Source organism: Homo sapiens, chromosome 2 (assembly GCF_000001405.40).
Source record: "Homo sapiens chromosome 2, GRCh38.p14 Primary Assembly".
NCBI classification, from domain to species: Eukaryota; Metazoa; Chordata; class Mammalia; order Primates; family Hominidae; genus Homo; species Homo sapiens.
Genome location: NC_000002.12, coordinates 172,737,285 through 172,760,152, shown reverse-complemented (window position 1 = coordinate 172,760,152; position 22,868 = coordinate 172,737,285). Strand labels below are relative to the sequence as shown.

At 39.1% G+C, this 22,868-nt stretch overlaps 1 protein-coding gene across 20 annotated transcripts in view, besides 1 other annotated feature; it reads right to left on the bottom strand.

Annotated features, from left to right (window-relative positions):
* Positions 1-22,868, bottom strand: part of RAPGEF4 (Rap guanine nucleotide exchange factor 4) — a 317,576-nt gene that overhangs the window by 292,741 nt on the left and 1,967 nt on the right. The gene's annotated exons all lie outside the window — the stretch shown is intronic.
* Positions 16,156-17,355: an enhancer, noted in NCBI's record as "CDK7 strongly-dependent group 2 enhancer chr2:173607526-173608725 (GRCh37/hg19 assembly coordinates)". NCBI's record gives its function as "activates an origin of replication core promoter dependent on BRD2, BRD4, P300/CBP, MED14 and CDK7 cofactors, with strong dependence on CDK7, by STARR-seq in HCT116 cells {active_cell/tissue: HCT116}" and the evidence as "EXISTENCE:reporter gene assay evidence [ECO:0000049][PMID:35650434]".

Here is a 22,868-nt window from a genome sequence, read left to right as displayed (position 1 = left end):
CTGTGGTGTTTGCATAGTAGAGCAGTTATCTGAAAGTTTTCTATTTCTCTGGGATTCTATTTTCCTTGTTTTATGGCTACAAAGAGTAAGCTTTTCTTGGGGCATTTTTTTGTCTGTGCCCATTGGTGTTTCTGGGTAGCTGTCAATATCCAGCCTGGGATACATGAGGAAAAGAGAAAATTCAAGGAATTCACCACTGTGTCCTTCAGATAGAGAGGGCCCAAGCCAGTCTGCCTTTTCTCTCTGCCTTTTAGAGTCTTTCTTTGTTTGTTTATATATAACGTCCAGGGTTTAGAATTGTACTTAGTAGGAGGAATAGGAAGAATTGAATCCACTCCATCTTATCCAGAATGAGAAATCTATAGTTGTCTTTTTGGCAGCAGTTTTGCTTATTGGTAAACTGGGTAGTTACAATGTCACAACTGCCATATGTACCAAAAGCAAGTATGCACAAACCAGAAACTCATTTACAGAGGCATACCATCTCCTAAGAGGATATGTTTCCAGGGACATGGCAACCAATGAACCATATGTTGTTTATTTGGTAATCACTTGACAACTCTGGCTTTATTGATAATATCACTTCTGAGTTTCACAGCGGCTCGCATGCCTCAGCTGTGATCATTTGCTTCCTTGCTGTTCAGTATTTATCACAGTGATGTTGACTCTCTGTTCTTTTCCCATCTGTTATGGAGAAATAACACCCTAATTTCATAATTGCATCCATGTCATCCTCCCCCTTGCCCTCTGCACCTCCATGCCTTGATTTTTCATCTTCCTTTACTTTCCCACTTACCTGCATTCTCATTGAATGATCTCACTCTAACCTAGGTCACAGGCTATGCATTTGCCCTGCACTTTGTATGCAAAATCTTTTATTTTTGTTTTTAGTACTGCCAGCTTCTTCACAATACCATTTGAAGACCTGCCACAGAGTCTGCAATCAGCCCAACTGCCAACCACACTGGAAAAATAGACCTACTAGCCATATCACCTGTAAGAAATAAAACTTCAAATGCAACCCCAGATTTTGGTCTTTCTTCTTCCTGATGTTTTGTCAACATGACACAATCTGTCTGAATATTTGAAAACATCTTTACTTGCCTTTCAAAACACGGTTGACATTCCCTTTATCTTCTTCCTGCTTCATTGGTCAATCCCATGCAGCTTCTTTTGCTAGTTACTCTCTTTCCTTCTGAACTCCTCTCTTTCAATGCTCACTTTTTTGGTATTCTCCCATCTCATGGCTTTAAGTGTCATCTATGTATTAATGATCCCCAAATGTATATCTCCAGCTCAGACCTCTCTCCCAAACTCCAGAAGCATATATCCAATTTCACACTTAACATCTAGAATTGAATGTCTAATAGGTATCTCAAACTCAACATGTCCAAAATTGAACTCCCCCTCTTATCTACAGCCTTCCGCGTCATAACAGATGACCCACAGTCCTCCAAATGACCCAGCCCAAAATGCTTAGAATTATCCTTGACTCTTCTTTCCCATACACTTCCACATTCAATTCATAAGCATGTCCTATTGGTTCTACCTCCAAAATGTATCCTACTGCTTCTCATTATCTTCACTGCTGTTCCCCTGATCCAAGCCACCATCAGCTTTCACCTAGATTACTGAAATAGCTTCCTTATAGCTCTCCCTTCTTCCACCATTGTCCCCCTTCCCCCAGCATCTTTTCAACGTTGCAGTCATAGTGATCTTTTGAAAATGTAAGCCAGATTATATCATTCCTCTGTTCAAAAACTTTCATGGCTCCTATTTCACTCAGAGTAAAACCCAAGATCTTTATAACAGCTGTCAAGTTCCTATGTGATCTGCCCTCATTCTCTGTCTCACTTCCTCTCCTACCCTTTCCCTTGTTCACTTCACCCTGGCCACAACATCCTTACCATCCCTCAAACAACCTACACACGCACCCACACCTGAGCCTTTGCACTGGTTGTTCCCATTGCCAGGAATTCTTATCCTAAACATATGCTTGGTTAAACTCCTCTGCCTCTTTGCTCAAATCACTTTCCCAGTGAACCCTATTCTGCCCACCCTATTTAATATTACAGTCTTCACCCACTGGCACTCCTGATTTTTTACTGGGCTCTATTTGTTTTTTGGGGTTTTTTCTTCCATAATACATACTGCCTTCAAACATAAGATATAATTTATTTATTATGTTTATGGTTTATTATCTATTTCCTTTGTTAGAATGTAAGCTCCATGAGAGCAAGAGTCTTTTGTTTTGTTCAATTATAAACTCTAAGCACCTAGAAGGTGTTTCTTTGGCACTCAATAAATATTTGTTAAATGCAAGAATTAATCTCATTACAGTAATGCCTCAACTATTCAGAGGATATTTATATGGAAATCTCAGTTATTAAAACAATCACTGGAGTGAGATCATGTAGCAAGCAAGTTTACAAAGGATTTGTGAAACCAAAATCAAGGCCCCAAATACCAAAAACTCTGACATTCATACACTTAATTCAGAGGAGAAATACCCAGAAGGCAAATACATGCACTTGTATTATACATACAGCTCCAATAAATTTAGTTACCTGGATTCGAAATCCAAAGGATTAAAAGCAATATATTATGTTTGTGCAAGGGAAGAAGATAGGATGGAAACCTAAAGGGCAAGCAAGGAGTGACAGCTTCTCAGTAGTAGGGAAGAGACAAATAAAACAAAAGCAAACAGAACTTTAAAAACAGCACTGGGGGCATCTGGTATTAAAACAGATAATCCACATACTTCAAAATCATAAATCACAGAAGTACACAGGATGCTAATTTATGTTCAATATACTGAGCCTTAATCATCAAATAAAAGAAAAATGATACTCAGTATGCTTTAGAAAAGCAGTCACATTAAATATTCTACCAGAGTTACTAAATAATGGCAAGTTTAGAGGATTAATTGGGATAAACTTGTATGAAATTAACTTCTCTATGATGCTGGATTACTGAAGACTCACTGAAAATAGCTACACTGTTTGGCTTTCAGCCATTTGTTTATTGCTGCAAATCCACAAATTAATCTTGTGTTCCAAAACAGAGCACATTCCAATCAACTCCAAGATCTCAGCAGGTTTTCAGAACTCTGGGTAAATTGAGGTTCTTACAATTTCAAAACCATGTATAGAAAATTCTCAGTTGGCCAAAATGCTTGGGAAATGGTCCATCCCCGATAGGTGCATTAGGATTAGGGTTAGGTTAGAAGGCACACGTCTGGAAAATATTACTTCCAAGAGTCATCAGGCAGATATATAACTCTGTGAGTTTCACTCTGATTTCCTTTGAGTTAAGGCTTTTACTTCACTAGGAATTCTTTATTTGAACTACAGTCATTTCTGCAAGGGATAGCACATTAAACTCTTTAACACGTTAGCTCAGATTACTTTATTAAAGGTTAGGAAATTTGGGACTGCAAGGTCCTGAACAAATAGATGCAAGGTGCAGTGCCCTACCATCCTGTGACCACCTCCAGGTGTGGGAAACAAGGTGTCTGTCCTACTTCTTCTATTTAAGAGATTAGCCTACAAGAGAAGTACAAGACAGGGCTGAGGAAGAAGTCAAGAGGACTCCTGTCCAAGGAGTCTAGACACAAAAGGGAGACTAGACACAATCAACTAGGGATATGACAGGTATAGCAGAATAGGTATGGCAGATTATGTGGGTTGAAAATGGACCCTGGAGGCTCACCCACAGTGGTGAGGGCCATGTGAAAGCTAAGAGTGGGAGCTGACTGTCATCCTATCAGCCCCAGGGCATTTGAGGTATCCAAAGCGATGCGCAAAGGCTAGGCAGTGCAGTAAGGCAGCAGAGGGCCATGGGAAACGGCACTGGAGCACACAGGCACCTTTCCATTTTGCTTAAGGTCCCTCCTAAACTCAGAATTAAGGCCAGCCTTCTTTGGTGTTAAAATTCTTTCTAAACTGGACTGGCTAACTTTACTGTCCTAGTAAATACTATCTACGAAACAATATTTGAACCTTAATCAGTTATGAGCAGAGTCCTATAGAAATAAATGAGTGATATGAAGTAGGGTTGGAACTATCATATCCTAAGATATACACTGCTCATTTTTTTAAAAAACTAGTTTTTATTGACAGGAGATGGGTAGGCATGGCTACAAAGTGCTGGCGAGAGGGAGTCTTGGAGAGATTGAGCAGTTCAGCATCTTGAGTATGGTGGTAGTTACATGAGTCTACAAGTGATGAAATTACATAGAACTACACACACACATGTGCACTTGAATGCACATAGAATTGGTAAAGCCCAAATAAATTCTGTGGACTTTACTGATGCCAATTTCCTAGTTTTGACATTGTACTGTAGTATGGTTATGTAAGAGTTACCCTTGGCGGTGAAGATTACATGGGACCTCCCTGTACATGTTTTTGCAACTTCCTGTGACTCTATAAGTATTTAAAAATAAATAGTTTTTAGGCCAGGCGCAGTAGCTCACGCCTGTAATCCCAGCACTTTGGGAGGCCGAGGTGGGCAGATCACCTGAGGTCAGGAGTTCGAGACAAACCTGGCCAACACGGTGAAACCCTGTCTCTACTAAAAATACAAAAATAGTAGCTGGGCGTGGTGGTGCACACATGTAATCCCAGCTACTTGGGAGGCTGAGGCAGGAGAATCGCTTGAACTGAGAGGCAGAGGTTGCAGTGAGCCGAGATTGCACCACTGCACTCCAGCCTGGGCAACAAGAGTGCAACTTCGTCTCAAATAAATAAACCGTTTTTAAAAGATAATTTTTAAATTATTGTTATTAGCTCAATTTGTGTTACTTTTCTATCTAAAATCTCAAGGGGCTGAATTTAGTAAGATTTTAATTATGTCACTAAACCATTCCTCTTTGGTCATTTAATCTTACCTAAAGGGATTAATGTTAGATGTTTATGGGTCCTGAATTAAAGAGTTTCTGTATGGGGCCAGTAGAATATGAACCTCAACTTCTCATCAAAAGTCTGCTTTCATCACCATAATGTAGCCCGGCATCAGCAAGCACATCCCAGAGTATTCCTCAGGGTTCTACGGCCACATATCATTTTGTCTTTATGGTGATGTCCAGAGATAAGAGGATTTTTTTTTTGAGATGGAGTCTCACTCTGTCACCCAGGCTGGAGTGCAGTGGTGTGATCTTGGCTCACTGCAAACTCTGCATCCTGGGTTCATGCCATTCTCCTGCCTCAGCCTCCCGATTAGCTGGGACTACAGGTGCCTGCCACCAGGCCCAGCTAATTTTTTGTATTTTTTAGTAGAGATGGGGTTTCACCGTGTTAGCCAGGATGGTCTCCATCTCCTGACCTCGTGATCCGCCCGCCTCGGCCTCCCAAAGTGCTGGGATTACAGGCATGAGCCACCGTGCCTGGCCTGAGGATTTTTTTAAAAAGCTTTAACTTGACATTTCCAAATTTTTTCTCATAAGCCCTTTTTTCCTTGCCCTATCTACTAATATTCCAAGGAACACACTTGAAACACTTACAGTGGAAAAGGACTGGGGTTCCAATTCCCCAGTGGTCCCTAGCACTTAGCAGCTATGTGACCCTGGACGAGTAATTTAACTTTTCCAGACCTCAAATTCCTTATTTCTAAAATATCAATAATAGCTTCTTACTGTCTTTATGAAAAGTAATTTAAAAATATGTTAAAAACCTTAAATCTCTTAACTTACATTAACTAATTTTAGTTCTATAGATATCTCTCCATCCTAAGGAGGTATCTAAAACACAAGAAATTTTTAATATAAAACATTATTCCATTATTTATAACAGCAACAATCATTTTCAAATGTCTTAGTTGTCCAACAATAAGGAAAAACTTAAGCCACATGATCTGTATGATTTCAGCCAATACGAATTATATTTATAAAGAACTGTTAATAACCTGGGAAATGATCATCCTATAAAGTTCATTTTAAAAGGTATAAAGTCATAAAGTTCAAGCTCAAACACATTAAAAAACACCCACACAAAAAAAATACTGCAGGAAAATATGCTAAAAATGTTAAGACCTGTTATTCCTGGTGATAGAGTTTATAGCAAAAAATTAATAATTATAAGCCAGAAATTATTTTATTTGGTCCAATTACAACATAGTTTAAATCATAGCCTGTAACTTTTCACAAGCTCCTGCCACTTTCCTCCTGGGAAGGATAAAGATATGTCAACACATGTTAATTGGTAACTCTCTCAGAAAGAAGCTGGTGTGTATATGTGTGCGGTGTGTGTCGGGTGTGTGTGTGTGTGTGTGTGTGTGTACATACACTGTGACATCTCAGATGCAATCTAGCAGCAACCCTCACAAACCGAAAGAGGAAGGGATGTGTTGGTAGCAATTATGTCACATGTCACTCATGTTAAGAAGAGTCATAGTGCTGTCTCAGATATCTGGTTTAGCATCTAAACATTAGTAAGCTTTAAAAAAAAAAGTTTTCCTTTTCCCCTATAATTTCACTTATTACTAATTTGTTATTTTCTAAATTTTTTCAGTCACTACAATATCAATCCTATGAAATCAAAGCCCTATCAATGAAGTTTCTTTCCTGTATAATGATATGAATAAATATAATTCAGTACATAAAATCAATTGTATACCTGTGTTGCTTTTCCCAATTCAAAAGAAATATACTCAAATATATTCTATTTGTAGAGGTATTCTTATGTGGCAGAATTTGACCACAAAACTCTTTATAGGCAGATAAAAATCAATTGTAGGTAAATTAAAAAAAAAAAAGAAAATCAAGGTTTTAGTTCAACTAAAATGGAAGAACAGTTTTCTTTTAAATAATTTTCCAGTTTTTAAAAAATCATTCCATTTTGTTGTTTTTATTTTATTATTGTTCACTCTCCCTTCTCATCAATACCTACACTATTTCCCTAAAGGTGATTAATCATATATACATTTTAAAATTATTTCAGTTTTGCAAATCAACCACTTTATGATATTTCATATAACTCAAAACAATACTAGGGCTAAGTAATGTCCATTTTTTATTCCTGTAAGTTCCTCCGAGAAGCAGTTTCATTGCTCATTTCTCCTGTGGATATTTAGGATTAGAACTTCCAGTCACAGAGACAAAAATATATTAATCGTCTGAACACCAAGGGCTCTTTAAAATTAGAATTGCTTTGACATCCATGACCTGTTAAATGTTGAATTCTAAAATGAACCTCTAAAGTTGTTAAGATAAATATCCAGTGAAGTGCTGAAAAGGTAAGAAGCAAAGCAACAGAGATAATGTAAAATTCAATTGAGGAACAGATAAGGTTCATTCACAAGCTGATAATGTACAGCTACAGCGCAAGGAGATAAAAGAGCACAATAAAATTATATTCTATTCACATTCAACCAGTTGGACATCCAGATTTGGCTATGCCTTATAGATGAAGCTGCCTCATTATGGTTCTCTTGGTATGTTCTATAGCTGCACACTTTGTATCAATAGAAGGCTCCCTTATTTATGATCTGATGATTTACGTAATTAAACAAGGACACCTAATCTAGGTTTTTAAATTATTTTTGGTAAATAGAATGTAAAACCTGGATGCTAACTACATAGTTCTAACTCTGCAACCTAGACTTTCAAATACCATCAGGGAATATTCATAAGTCTAATGTACATATGGTGCCCTAACATCACAACAGAGACTTAGTATTCTCAAGTTACCTTCAGTTTTTGACATGAAAAACTTTTAAAACATACTGCTATATCACTGAATTCATCTATGAATAAAATATGATAAAAATTCAATACAAAAGCATTATCAAAAGGCAGATGGTGGAATAACAGCAAAGAAATCCTTCAAATGAGAAATTGTTGGAATTTCTAGGTATCCAGGACCACTTTCCTGCTCTAGCACATTTGCCTTCAAGGCCTGGCTAAGACACTGATCCAACAGAGGTACCAGACAAATTCATCACTAGTGAAACTAAACTGGTTAAATATGAAAACCAAAATTCCATGGGTAGGATGGGAATGAGGACACCACCATGCTGTAATCATCAGCATCCATGATCAAAAGCACACAAACAGTATCTTTACAACACCATTTAAATGATAGTACCTTTCCTGGTCTGAATGGTACTTATCAGTTCTCTAGGTGTAGCTTTCTTTTTCCTGAAAATTATTATCAGAAAAAACTAAAGTGAAACATATTTTTCACATCTTTAAGTCATAATAACATTTAAAGGATAAACCAAAATTCCAAAAGGACTTCATCTATCCCTTTCATTGTTTTGTGAAGCTACTTGTCTATTACATCAACAAAAGCAGTTAGTAGTCTATGGGTACTTTCCCAAAAAAAGGCCTTGTTACCAAACAAAAGGGCAGTGCCGCATTGATTCAGCCTGTGTTTGCACCACAGGCACTAACCAGCCCGACCTCTGTTCTGTAAAATACCTCATCCACCTATTTAGTAAAGTCTGGATTACACTGATCTAAATTCAAACTAGGTGACCTCTCAGTTCATTCAAGGTCTTTGGTCAAATATCACTTCTACAGAAAGACCTCTCTGACCACCCTCTCTAAAATAACACTACCCCTCAGTCTCTTCCCCTTTTCTCTCCTTGATTTTCCTTCACTGCTCTTATCACTGCCTGACACAGTAGTGCAGTTTTGTCTGTATTTGTTTACCGTCTGTTCCTCTACCTCCATATTCTCTTATCTTTGGCTTCATAGCATTTATTACCATCTAACTTCTCCTATTCTATCACCACTGTATTCCTTACCAGCTAGAACAGCATCTGGCACATACTAGGTACCCCATAAATCGTTTTTTGAAGACTGACTGAATGAATGAATGTCTTCCCACCTAGAATTTCAATTCGTGAGGTCAGGGCCTTTGACAGTTTTTCTCACTAATGTATACCCAGCAAGAGTGACTGGCACATGGTAAGCAGATAGTAAAATCTCTAAATGAATGAGTGAATGACAGTAGGAAAGTAAATTACTACAATCAGATCCTTTTCCTACAACACATTTGGGTGGGGGAAGATGGAAGACAGTATGAGGCAGGTAGAAGAGTGACAAAAGGAATGGCAAGGGACACTGAATATGGAACTTTTCTATATTCCAAGTTTCTTTAAAGAGTCGATAAAGAAAACATGTAAAATTCAAGAACCCAGCTTTTGCTGTAACAGGTCCAGTAAATAACTAATGACTGCACAGCAAAACAATCAATACAATAAAAAATTCAACCTATAAAATGGGAGAAAATATTTGCAAATGATATATCTGATAAAGGGTTAATATTCAAAATACATAAGGAACCTATATAATTTGATACCAAAAAAACAAGTAATCTGACTTTTTTAACAGGCAAAACACCTGAATAGACATATTTCCAAAGAAGACAAACAAATGGTGAACAGGTGTATGAAAAGGTGCTCAACATTACTAATCATCAGAGAAATGCAAATCAAAACTACAGTGAAAAACAATGTCACACCTGTTAGAATGGCTATTACCAGAAAGACATAAAATAACAAGTGTCATTGAGGACATGGAGAAAAGGGAACCTCTGTGCACTGTTGGTGGGAATGTGATATGGTTTGGCTGTGTCCTCACCCAAATCTCATCTTGAATTGTAGCTCCCATAATCCCTATGTGTTGCGGGACGGGACCTGGCAGGAGATAATTGAATCATGGGAGCAGTTTCCCCCATACTGTTCTTGTGGTAGTGGATAAGTCTCACAACATCTGATGGTTTTATAAAGGGAAAAAAACGCTTCTGCTTGGTTCTAATTCTCTCTCTTGCCTGCCGCCAATATAAGAGGTGCCTTTCACCTTCTGCCATGATTGTGAGGCCTCCCCAGCCACGTGGAATTGTGAGTCCATTAAACCTTTTTTTCTTTATAAATTAACCAGTCTCGGATATGTCTTTATCAGCAGCATAAACAGAGACTAATACAGTAAATTGGTACCAGGAGAGTGGGGTGCTGCTGAAAAGATAGCTGAAAATGTGGAAGCGACTTTGGAACTGGGTAACAGGCAGAAGTTGGAATAGTTTGGAGGGCTCAGAAGAAGACAGGAAAATGTGGGAAAGTTTGGAACTCCCTAGTGACTTGTTGAATGGCTTTGACCAAAATGTTGATAATGATATAAACAATGAAATCCAGGCTGATGTGGTCTCAGAAGGAGGCGAGGAACTTTTTGGGAACTGGAGAAAAGGTGACTCTTGCTATGTTTTAGCAAAGAAACTGGCAGCATTTTGCCCATGCCCTAGAGATTTGTGGAACTTTGAATTTGAGGGGGATGATTTAGGGTATCTAGCAGAAGAAATTTCAAAGTGGCAAAGCACTCAAGAAATGACTTGGGGGGATTAAAAACATTCAGTTTTAAAAGGGAAACAGAGCATAAAAGTTCGGGAAATTCACAGCCCAATGATGCAATAGAAAAGAAAAGCCCATTTTCTGAGGAGAAATTCATGCTGGCTGCAGAAATTTGCATAAGTAATGAGGAGCCAAATGTTAGTCAGCAAGACAATGGAGAAAAACGTCTCCAGGGCACGTCAGAGACCTTTGCAGCAGCCCTTCCCATCAATGGCCTGGAGGCCTAGGAGGAAAAAGTGGTTTCGTGGGCTGGGCCCAGGGCCCCCCTGCTGTGTGCGGCCTAGGGACTTGGTGCCCTTTGTCCCAGCTGTCCCAGCTGCTCTATCCATGGCTAAAAGGGGCCGAGGTACAGCTTAGGCCAAAGCTTCAGAGGGTGCAAGCCTCCAGCCTTGGCAGCTTCCACATGGTGTTGAACCTACAGGTGTTCAGAAGTCAAGAACTGAGGTTTGGAAACTTCCTCCTAGATTTTGGGGGATGTATGGAACTGGATGTCCAGGCAGAAGCTTGCTGCAGGGGCAGGGCCCTCATGGAGAACCCCTGCTAGGGCAATGCAGAAGGGAAATGTGGGATTGAAGCCCCTACTCAGAGTCGCTACTGGGTCACTGCCTAGCAGAGCTGTGAGAAGAGGACCACTGTCCTCCAAACCCCAGAATGGTAGATCCACCAACAGCTTGCACTATGTGCCTGGAAAAGCCACAGACACTCAACATCAGCCCCTAAAAGCAGCAGGGAAGGAGGCTGTACCCTGCAAAGCCACAGGGGCCAGGCTGCCCAAGACCATGGGGACCTACTTCTTGCATCAGCGTGACCTGGATGTGAGATGTGGAGTCAACAGAGATCATTTGGAGTCTTAAGATTTGACTGCCCCACTGGATTTTGGACTTGCATGCAGCCTGTGGCTCCTTTGTTTTGGCCAATTTCTCCCATTCGGAATGGCAGTATTTACCCAATATCTGTAACCCCATTGTATCTAGGAAGTAACTAACTTGCTTTTGATTTTACAGCCTCATAGGCAGAAGGGACTTGCCTTGTCTCAGATGAGACTTTGGACTGTGGACTTTTCAGTTAATGCTGAAATGAGTTAACACTGGGGAACAGTTGGGAAGGCATGATTGATTTTGAAATGTGAGGACATGAGATTTGGGAGAGGCTGGGGCAGAATGATATGGTTTGGCTGTGTCCCCACCCAAATCTATCTTGAATTGTAGCTCCCATAATTCCCTTGTGTTGTGGGAGGGGACCCGGTGGGAGATAACTGAATCATGGGGGCAGCTTCCCCAATTCTGTTCTTGTGGTAGTGGATAAGTCTCATGAGATCTGATGGTATTATAAAGGGAAACCCCTTTTGCTTGGTTCTTTCTCTCCCTTGCCTGCCACTAATGTAAGACATGCCTTTCACCTTCTGCCATGATTATAAGGCCTCCCCAGACACATGGAACTATGAGTCCATTAAACCTCTTTTTCTTCATAAATTACCCCATCTCAGGTATGTCTTTCTCAGCAGCATGAAAACAGACTAATACAGAATGTAAATTAGTATGTTATTGAAAACTTATGGAGGATCCTCAAAATTAAGATTAGAACTACTTTACGATGCAGCAAGCCCATGTCTGGGTACATATTCAAAGGAAATGAAATGAGTATCTTGAAGAGATATCTGCATTTCTCTGTTTATTGCAGCATTATTCACAATAACCAAGAAAGAAAACAACCTAAATGTCTGTTGACAGATTAATGGAAAAAGAAAATGTGGTGTATATATACACAATGAATATTATTATATTATTCCATCTTAAAAATAAAGGAAACCTTGGTATTTGTGACAACATGGATGAACCTAAAGGACAGTACGCTAAGTGAAACAAGCCAGGCACAGAAATACAAATACCGCATGATCTTACTTACATATAGAATCTAAAATATTCAAACTCCTAGAAGCAGAGAGTAGAAGATGGTTGCCAGGAGCTGAAGGGAAGGGGAAATGGGGAGATATTGGTCAAGGGGTACAAAGTTTCAGTTATGAGAGATAAATAAATTCTGGGCTGGACACAGTGGCTCCTGCCTGTAATCCCAGCACTTTGGCAGGCCAAGGTAGGAGGATTGCTTAAGCCCAGGGGTTTGAGCAGCCTGGGCAACACAGCAAGACCATGTCTCTACTAAAAATAAAAAATTTTCCAGGCATGGTGGTAGGTGCCTATAGTCCCAGCTACTTGGGAAGCCAAGGCAGAGGGATCGCTTGAGCCAGGAATTCAAAGCTACACTTAGCTATGATTGTGCCACTGCACTCTAGCCTGGGTGACAGAGTGAGATCCTATCTCAAAAAATAAAATTAAAATTAAAATTAAAAGATGAATACGTTCAGGAGATCTAATATACAACAATGTGAACATAGTTAACAATACTGTATTTCAAACTGCAATTTGCTAAGAGAGTAGATCTTAAGTGTTCTCACCACACACACATACTAGGTAACTATATGAGGTGATGAATATGTTAATTAGCTTGATTGTGGCAATTATTTCACAATGTATACATACACCAAAGCAACAAGTCATACATCTTAAAGTTATACAATTTTTACTTGTCAATTGTGCCTCAATGAAGATGAAAAATTAATGACTAGAAGAATAAGGCTGTTCTAACGCTGCCCCAAACACAAGGGAAAACATTAATGCCTTCATCCAGGGTATAAACAGAATTGAAATTTCACATAATACCAAGAATCAAGTTACTAAGTTGTGAGTAATATCTGCTTCTCATCAAAGATCTTTTCTATTTGTTTTCAACATCTCAACTATTAAGTCTTTTCTAAGGGCCTATAAAAATTATTTCTCCATTTAATTAAGGGGGGGTTTCTTGAACTTTTCACCAATTTATAAGTAATATTTCTGGCCAGGCGCAGTGGCTCAAGCCTGTAATCCCAGCACTTTGGGAGGCCGAGGTGGGCAGATCACCTGAGGTCAGGAGTTCAAGATCAGCCTGGCCAACATGGTGAAACCCTGTCTCTACTAAAATTACAAAAATTAGCCAGGCATGGTGGCAGACATCTGTAATCCCAGCTACTGGGGAGGCTGGGGCAGGAGAATTGCTTGAACCCGGGAGGCGGAGTTTGCAGTGAGCTGAGATCATGCCACTGCACTCCAGCCTGGGCGACAGAGTAAGACTCTGTCTCAAAAAAAAAAAAGAAAAAAGTAATATTTCTATACAGCAAGTCATCCATTTTGATATGCTTACATTGTACAATCAATTTTATTCAATAAAAGTGTTTTTAGAAAATTATTTCACTCACGGATAAGCATTTTAAGATTACTCCAGTGCAATTAACATATGTCCCTTGGTTTCCACAGTTGCAATTAGAGGGGCTATGTTCTGTAGCATTACCTGTGGGCTCTTGACCACCATTTGTCTATTTGTTAGAGTGGCACCAATATTCCTCCTTGAGAATACACCCGTGCCCCCACATCCTCACAGAGAAGAGACGGAACACCATTAAGTTACACATTCTTGTTTGGCTACCAAATTATACATGAAATGAAATAAAGCAATGGAATATAAAGGTCAAATGATAGCCAAACAAGAATGTAATTTTCCCCCAGTTTGGCTGACACCAAAGTCTTATTACTCTTCATTCAGCCAACAACACAGAATAGAATGATTCCAGGTATCTATTGGAAAATATTACTTCAAAGTCATTGCAACTCAATCATAATCATTGTTAACGGCTCAAATGCGAAAAAACAATATTTATAGTGGATTTTCAGTAAGAAACACAATCCATCTATTTCTAAAATATACTACAATCTTTCCTTGGATTAAATCAGATCACCTGAAAACTGTATATTATATTGGCCCCCTCGCAGAATTACCCTTTCTTAATGTTTCTTTAGAATTATGCTGTATTTAAAGAGCCTGTGAAACTCACTGCTGAATCACTGTTGGAATGTTGTTGAGGATATTGTTCACCACATTGCAAAGTATATTCTTGAGGCTGAGGGAGTCAAGAGGTCCCAGTATCAGCTTGATTAATTGTTCTTCTCCAGCAGAAATAGTTTAAGTTTACAAATACTGAATAAAAAAATACCTGTGCTTCCTTGTGTTGAAAATGAGAAATTGAAGCTGAAATGCTTATATTAGTAAAGAAGAAAGGTTAAAATTAACCAACTAAGTTTCCACTTTAAGAAGCCAGAAAAAGAAGAATAAGTTAAACCCAAAGTAAGGAGAAAAAAGGAAAAAAAAATGAGCAAAAATCAATAAATTTCTCAAAGAAAACAGTAAATCAACTAAAAGTTGTTTCTTTTAAAATATTAACAAAATTGGGAAGCTCCTAGTAAGAATGAATTAAAAAAAAAAGACACAAATTACCAATATGGGATACAAAGGACAGAACAACACTACATATCCTAATGGCATTAAAAGGATTATAAGGAATACTATGAACAACTCTATGTCAATAAATTTGATAACTTAGATGAAATGGACAAACTCCTTGAAATAACTATAAAAACTGACATGAAAAGAAAATCTGAACAGTCCTCTATTACAGTTTGAATTTGTCATTAAAAAGCTTTTCATATAGAAAACTCCTGGCCCAGATGACATCTATAAGACATTTGTAAAATAAATAGCATTGATCTTATATAAGTTCATTTAAAAATAGAGGGAAAAAATAGGAAAAAAGGAAATGTTTCTTAATTCACTTGATTAAGCCAGAATAATCCTGATACTAAAATAAGAAAAGAAAGTTATAGGCTAATATCCCTCATGAATTGACATGAAAGTAGCATTAATGAAATATTAGTAAGTTGAATAAAGTAATATATAAAAAGTATAATGCATGTTGACAAAGTAGTATCTATTCTAGGAAGGCAAGGTTGGCTTAACATTTGAAATTCAGACAATGTAAATTCACTATATTTACAGAATAAAACAGAAAAATAATATAATCATCTCAATAATTTCAGAAAAGGGAATTTGCTAAAAAAAAACAACTACATGAAAGACAACTAATGTGGCAAAATAGCAAACTATTTTTTATAAGATCATAACCAAAACAAGAGCATCCATTCTCACCCCTTCTATTCAATTTTGTCCTGGCATTCCTGGCAAATGCAATAAGGCAAGAAAAATAAATAATAGAAGACATAAAAATCAGAAAGAATAAGTAAAACTACCAGTATTCACATTCAAGATTGTCTACAGGGAAAATCCCAATGAATCTATAAAGTAACTACTAGAACCAAATAACTTGCCCAAAATTACACCATCAATAAAATTAAAACTGGGGTTTGAGCCTATACAGTCTGACTCCTAAATTTTTAACCTCTACACTACATTTTCTCTCTAGAGATGACCACGCAACGTTTGCATTAGCTCACACACCTCAACATAGCCATTACTGTAGGCACTGGGAATCTCATTTGAAGATGTGAAAACAAAGATTCAAAAAGATTAATAACTTGGCCAAGATCACATAGCTAGAGGGTAGAGGTGACAGAATTTGAATCCAGGTCTGGCTGATCCTAAGACAAAGCTGATTTGACTATATCATGTTTTCCAGACTGGAAACAGAAAACGGGGAGATCCAGATGCTAAGGCCCTGAAATAAAAGTGGAATAAAAGTCAAGACAATTAGTGACTGGTTAGATGTGGAAAAGGACATAGGAAAGGGAAAATGCAGATAACTTCAAAGTTCTGAGAATGAGGAAGTCATGACATCATAAATAAAATAGTAAAGCAAGAAGGAGAAACAAATGGGGAGCAGGGCTAAAAAAGATGAGGTCAACTTTAGACAAGTATCAATCTGTTAGGTTAGAGATCATTTTGATGGCAAATGATAGAACACCAAACAAAGAATGCTTTAGAGAAATAGGGCTTTTTTCTTCACAAAACAAAAATCTGAAGGTGGGTAACTACTGATCTGGGTTCAGCAGGTGGACAAAGTCAGAACTGGGGGCTCTGTGTTTCTCTGGGCACTTGCTCCTGGGATTACAAGATGGCTGCCACAGGCCCGGGCCTCGGGTAGTAACTCCAGGCAGAAAGAAGAGAGGAAGGGGAAATCAAATACACGGGTAAAGCAAGAGCTTCCCTGGAAGCCTCCTGTAGACTTCTGCTATGTCTCATTGGCCAGACAGTGCCACATGGACACCTCACCTGAAGGAAGATTGGGAAAATAACTATGTTGTTTTTCTAGCCTCTATAGCAGAGGTAGGTGAAGGAAAACAATGTCTGCCCCACAAAATATTAATGGGATATTCATGTGGGAATATCCAACAGACAAAAATACATCTGGTCTAGAAGATAAGCCACAGATACAGAGTTTAAGGAATCTGAGCAGTTACAGCAAAGGAAACAGATAGTTGCGCCAAGAAAGAGCTGGCATGGAGAGAAAAGAGAGTAGTGGCAGCACTTTGTGTTTCTTCTGGGGCAGGGGAAGCAAGAGGGTGCACACGGATGCAGCTGAGTCAACACACCAGGATTGTCCGCCTCCGCTCGTCAGCCAGATTGTTTTCTGTCAGATGTTCAGCTGGATCTCTCGCTGTCTCCCTCCCCACCCAGTTCTTTCCATCCTCTTTCTCTTTCCTCAGTCTCTCAGTACTCCTAGGGCAGTCTCTCCCTCATCTGTGACGTGAAAGTACTGGAGGAAAAACCCACTCTCATTGACCACTGTTGAGGATGCACAAACGTGATTTTATTCTGACTGAAGAAAAACTAGCTGCATGGGGTGTGAGGAGGTGGTGCAGGACAATAAGCAGCTACGATGAGAGGGCCATAAAATCTTCTAAGCTCATGGGAAATTCCAACAAAAGGTATCTGCCAGTCCCACCTCACAGGAGGGGCCAGAAATCCATTTGAGAGAACTCCAACTAAGACAAAGAGGCTGGATTTGCTTTGCTAAGCACCACTTTTCCTCTGAAGACTCTTTCCAGCTCCCAGGCTGCATGCAGGAGACCAGGCAGCAGGGTCAAGGGTGTGGATTGAGCACACCAATCCTACATGTATCCCCAGTCTGAGGGAGTCCAGGTCTGGCTAAACTTTCCTTTCCTAATAGATTAAAGCAAGTAAAATCAGCACAACAGAATTTAACCCTAATTACATATGAGGTTGTATTGTTCTCAAATTACTCCAAATATATATGTCATGTGCTCCCATGTATTTGAGGCCACAGTGAAATGTCTCCCAATAAATTGCAAATAGATAATTCCCAAGCATTAAACTTTAAAAACAATATATTGCTAACATTATGAAAAGAGATCACTTGACATTATATACCTCATTATGGAAATATATAACACTTCTGTGATGCATTCTTACCAAAAAGTCAAACTCTAGACCCAAATACTAATTTACAGGAAATACAGGGGACAAAGGAACATGTTTTAAAAAACTGCATGGAGGTACAATGAAAATTCAGACTGAAAAAAACAACAACAACCCAGTTTCTTCAAGAAATGTATTACAAGGAAGAAAAAGAGAGAAAGAGAGAACCCAGACCTATAGACATATCAACTAAATGCAACTTATTTGGCTCTTGATACAAACAAACTGCAAAAAAGAAAGTTATGAGGTAAATGGGGACATTTGAACACTGACTGAATAATTGATTATATTAGAGAACTAACGTCAAGTTGTTTAATGTGTGTGGTATTGTTTTCTTTATAAAAAGTCACTACCTTTTAGAGACATATACTAAAATATTTACAGATGAAATACATGGGATTTGCTTGAAAATAATCCTGGGGGGAGTGGGGAGCGCGTGAAGGTATAAACAAAACAAGGTTGGCTGTAAGTTGATGATGTTGGAGCCAGGGAAGGGGTGGCACAGATCATACTGGCTGGGCACAGTGGCTTAAGCCTATAGTCCCAGCACTTTGGGAGGCCAAGGTGGGAAGATCACTTCAGCCCAGCAGTTTGAGACCAGCCTGGGCAACATAGGGAGACTCCATCTCTACAAAAAATTTTTAAAATTAGCCAGGCATGGAGATACACATCTGTGGTCCCAGCTACTCAGGAAGCTGAGGCAGGAGGATCGTTTGAACCCAGGAGGTCAAGGATGCAGTGAGTTGTGATCAAACCACTGCCTTCCAGCCTGGGTGACAGAGTGACCCTGTCTAAAAACACACACACAAACAAAAAGAATTAAGAATCATACTGCTATTTCTTCTTTTTGTATATTTTGATTTTTTCCACAATAAAAAGATGTTAGTTTTTTTTTCAAAGGTGGGTGAGGATTTAAGGAGGAAGAATAGATTAGATTAGAGCTATGCAGTGTCATTTTTAAAAAAGTATTCACATTAGCCAAAAAACATAGAAGAAGCAACAGAGGCAGATGTGGATGGTGTCACCCACGCCCTTCCCCAGCAAAGGGCCCAGTGCAAGGGCCTTTTTGGGTTACAGAGGCCACCATCCCTGAGGAGAAGGATGCCTGTGGCCATCTTGCCCTGGGCCCATTAGCACCTTCTCTAGTCAGGGCACTGCACTGAAGCTGAAGATAAAATGATGAATAAAATATAGGGACTAAAGTCAAGTGATGTGAAAAGAGAAGTAAGCAGGCCATTACAATGGAATCGGACTTGTGCTATGTTATTACAGAGTGGGACCAAAGTGTGCTGTGAGAGCACAGGTAATGGTGATCTGACTGGAAAAGGTGGCAGCCACGCTGTCCTGGACGATTCCCAGAACTGCCTTCTCATTATCATCCAATTCCCAGGCTCTGTTGCTCTAGGAAGAGGATGTACTCCTGTACAGGCCAGAAGATGTAAGCATCCTGACCTCCTGGCAGCTTGGCTTCTCATTGTAAATGCAGAAAACGGACTTCTGAGAATAATTGGATTTCCCATATGGCTTACTTAGAGGAAGAATACATTAGCCAAAGGACGTGAGTGTCCACTTCTCTGATGTGACAGATCTTATTGTCAAATTAATAAACTGTCTTTCTGGCTTTTAGAGTCTCTGAGAGTCTGGTACCTGTGTATCTGTTGCTGAAAGATACATTAATTTTTGATGTGCTAACAAGTCAGTATTCTGAGATTGCAAGACCAGCCTGAGCCCTGGAGGATGTACCGGGGTAATGTCATCCCTTGGGACATGGCTAGTAGATACTAGCCTCCTCCAGGGACCCCTTTCTGCTCTGTGTGCTTCTTTGATCCTCTGCATTTCTCAAGGGTGGACCCATGTCTGATGCTTCTTTGATATCTGAGTTATCTTCTCTCACCATGTGTGCTACAAAGCATTTTGGTTCTTAACAAATTTGTTTCTTGATTTCTTTCACTCGAATTCAACCTAATCAAAATAGCTAAAATAACATCTATTTGGGGGCAAGTCAGATGGAAACTGTCCATGGAGTATTTTTAAACTGAAACACGAATACTTAAAAAAAATTCATCTGCTGCCTTTGAAAGATCACAACCTTTTGAATAACCATGTTAACTTCATCATCTGCTTTGGCTGTGACGGCCAGTGTTCCTCAAATAAGCCAATCAACTGAGAACCTTTCTCCAACCTATACTTCTAATTAAAGAACAAGAAACCAAACACTGTGAACTCCTTTCCAAATGAAAACGATTTCTTTCATCTCCAGTGGTTTCACTGTCAATCACTTAGATAGGTTCTTTCATCTATAACAAAAGATGGCAAACTTTTTCTGTAAAGGTCCACATAGTAAATATTTCAGGCTCTGTGGGCCCACAGTCTCCATTGCAGCTACTCAACTCTGCCACTGCAGCGGGAAAGCAGCTGTAGACAATATGTAACCAAATGAGCATGGCTATGTTCCAATAAAACTTTGTTTATAGACACTGAAATTTGAATTTCATCTAAATTTCATGGGTCACAAAATACTGATCTTCTTTTGATTTATTTCCAACCATTCAGGAATGTGAAAACCATTCTTAGCCCACGAGACATACGGGCAAGCTGTCAGATCTGGCCCACAGGCCATAGCTTGTCAATGCCTGTCCCATCATGATGAATGCCAGCAATGAGTCGCTATACTACATGAATGTGTATGGTCCCTGTCCCTTCATAATACTCCTTTACCAACCCTGAGAACTAGGACTTATAAGTGGATCTGAAGTTCACAGTTGGCAAATTTAAAATCTTACGGGAAAAATATTTTCATTAAAATTAAACAATGGGCCGGGTGTGGTGGCTCACACCTGTATTCCCAGCACTTTGGGAGGCCAAGGCGAGCGGATCAGCTGAGGTCAGGAGTCCAAGACCAGCCTGGCCAACATGGTGAAACCCTGTCTCTATAAAAATACAAAAATTAGGCAGGCATGGTGGTGTGTGCCTGTAATCCCAGCTACTCGGGAGGCTGAGACACGAGAATTACTTGAAACCAGGAGGGGGAGGTTGCAGTGAGTCAAGATCACACCGTTGCACTCCAGCCTGGGTGACAGAGTGAGACTCCATCTCAAAAAACAAAAACAAAAACAAAAAAACTTAAACAATGGTCAGCACACTTAAAAAAAAAAAAGAAAGGACATTTTACCTATCTTAAGTCCCAAATAGTGGGAACTATGTAATTTGTTCCTAGTTGCCATCCCCTCAGAAAAAAATGGTAAGATCCCTGAGATAGTGGTGAGCTTGTTTTACTCTAACAATACATCTGCTGAGACTTTTTTCAATGTTGGTTTATCCATCCAAATGTTCAATGTCCTGTCTTTCTGGTTTTAAGATTAGTATTTGTAGACCCTCATCTCCTCAGTCCCACCATAGTCCAAGATGGTGGATGATTGATACATAAAAAGCTATAGATTTTGTTTCTTTAATCTAATCTACATATCTACAACACTTGCAACACCCTTCCCCACTTGCAAATATTGTCCTGTCTATGATAGCTTTCTAGGCATTCCTAACAAACACTTTAAGGCTCTATTTTCCTTGTGTTTTGTTTCACTTCAAATTTCATTGTATACTTCTTTACTACTGCAGACTTTCTCTTTTAACTCTCTTTTTATTTCCAGTCCCAGGGTTTCTCTTTTTTTCACCATCCACAACAGTTGTCACTTGAATGAGGCATATATTTGAACTGTGTTTCCCAGTTACGTCCTTTTCCCAGTTGAAAGGTCCCAGCATCATATTCCCAAGTGAACCCACATGGGTTCATTGTACTTTCTCTTTTGTGCAGGGTTGAAAATGTCCATAATAAAAAAGATTTTATAAAAATAGAGCATACATTCCTATACTCTAGATTTGGTCACAAGAGGAATTTGTGGTTGGGAAGAAATTAGCATATTCATATGCCACACCACTCCCTGGCATGCCCTCCCTATTCTGTGCCTGGTAAAATTGTTCTCAGCCTCTGAGTTCTAGGCAGGACACCTATGGAAGTATCTCGATAACTCTCTCATCTGCATTCCCAAAGCACTTTATACATCTCCATTAAAGCACTTACTATTGCATTGTGGTTAGCTGTTTATAGAGCCGTCCCACCACCAATCTCCCCTACCCTCTAAGCCTACAAGCAACTCTCATATTTTGTTGCATCCCCAGTGCCCAGCACAGTGCCTGGAAAAGAAGATCAAGATAGCATTTAAAAGAGGATCAAGATAGCATTTCACAGTGCCTGGAAAAGAGGATCAAGACAGCATTTCTCAGAAACATTGAGGGCAGTGTCTCCACTAAACAGGTGTTTCAGGGGGCTTCCCTAGCCAACTTCCATAAACACTCTCAACCTTTCTCCTTTCCTAAAAAAAATAAATAAATAAACAATCTAAGTAAAAACACAACTTCAAAACAAGTCCCCCCATGGCCTTCATACAATGAGATTGCTGCCCTAAACTGTTCCTCATTGGAATTAATTCTGGCATGAACACTGCAGAACATGCAAAGTTCTTTTAATACCACAAAACAAAAAGCCTACATGGCACTCACAGTTTTCAAACTATTTCACCTTTTTTTTCTCCTTCCATTTGTCCACTTATCCCTGATAGTCCTATCCTCATTTTTCAGACACTCAAGGAAGTAAAAGTGACATGTCCAATATCAGAACTGGTAACAGCTCTGTGCCTAAAACCCTTAACTTATTGATCTATCCACTCATCTGACTCTTCTGATGCTAGGCTCAGTATCTGTGAAGGGTTTTTTTTTTTTTCCTAGATTTTTTTCCCATTATGAATGGTGGCATTAAATGGGGGCACCATGCTCTAAAAAATCCATTTCAAGCAAAATCATTTAGGCAGATACACATTATGAAAAGAGAGAGTCGAATATGTCCCACTTGTGTTAGTATTGCTCTATGATTTTGCCATAAGTACTTCTTATTGACTAACGGGTTTCCAGTGAATTACCGACTGTTCAAAAAATGCCATGCCATGCATTTCTACACATAGAAATATGTTATTATCTAAAAATTTTGCTCATAAGGAAGCACTACTATTTATAGGTTAAGTGCAAGATCCTGAATCCCATATAATTCCTTTTTCCTGAACTATTAAATGTAGATACTTATCACATTAACAACCTCTATACTTTAAATACTCTTAGTTCTTCTACATAATCCTGTGTGATTTAACTAT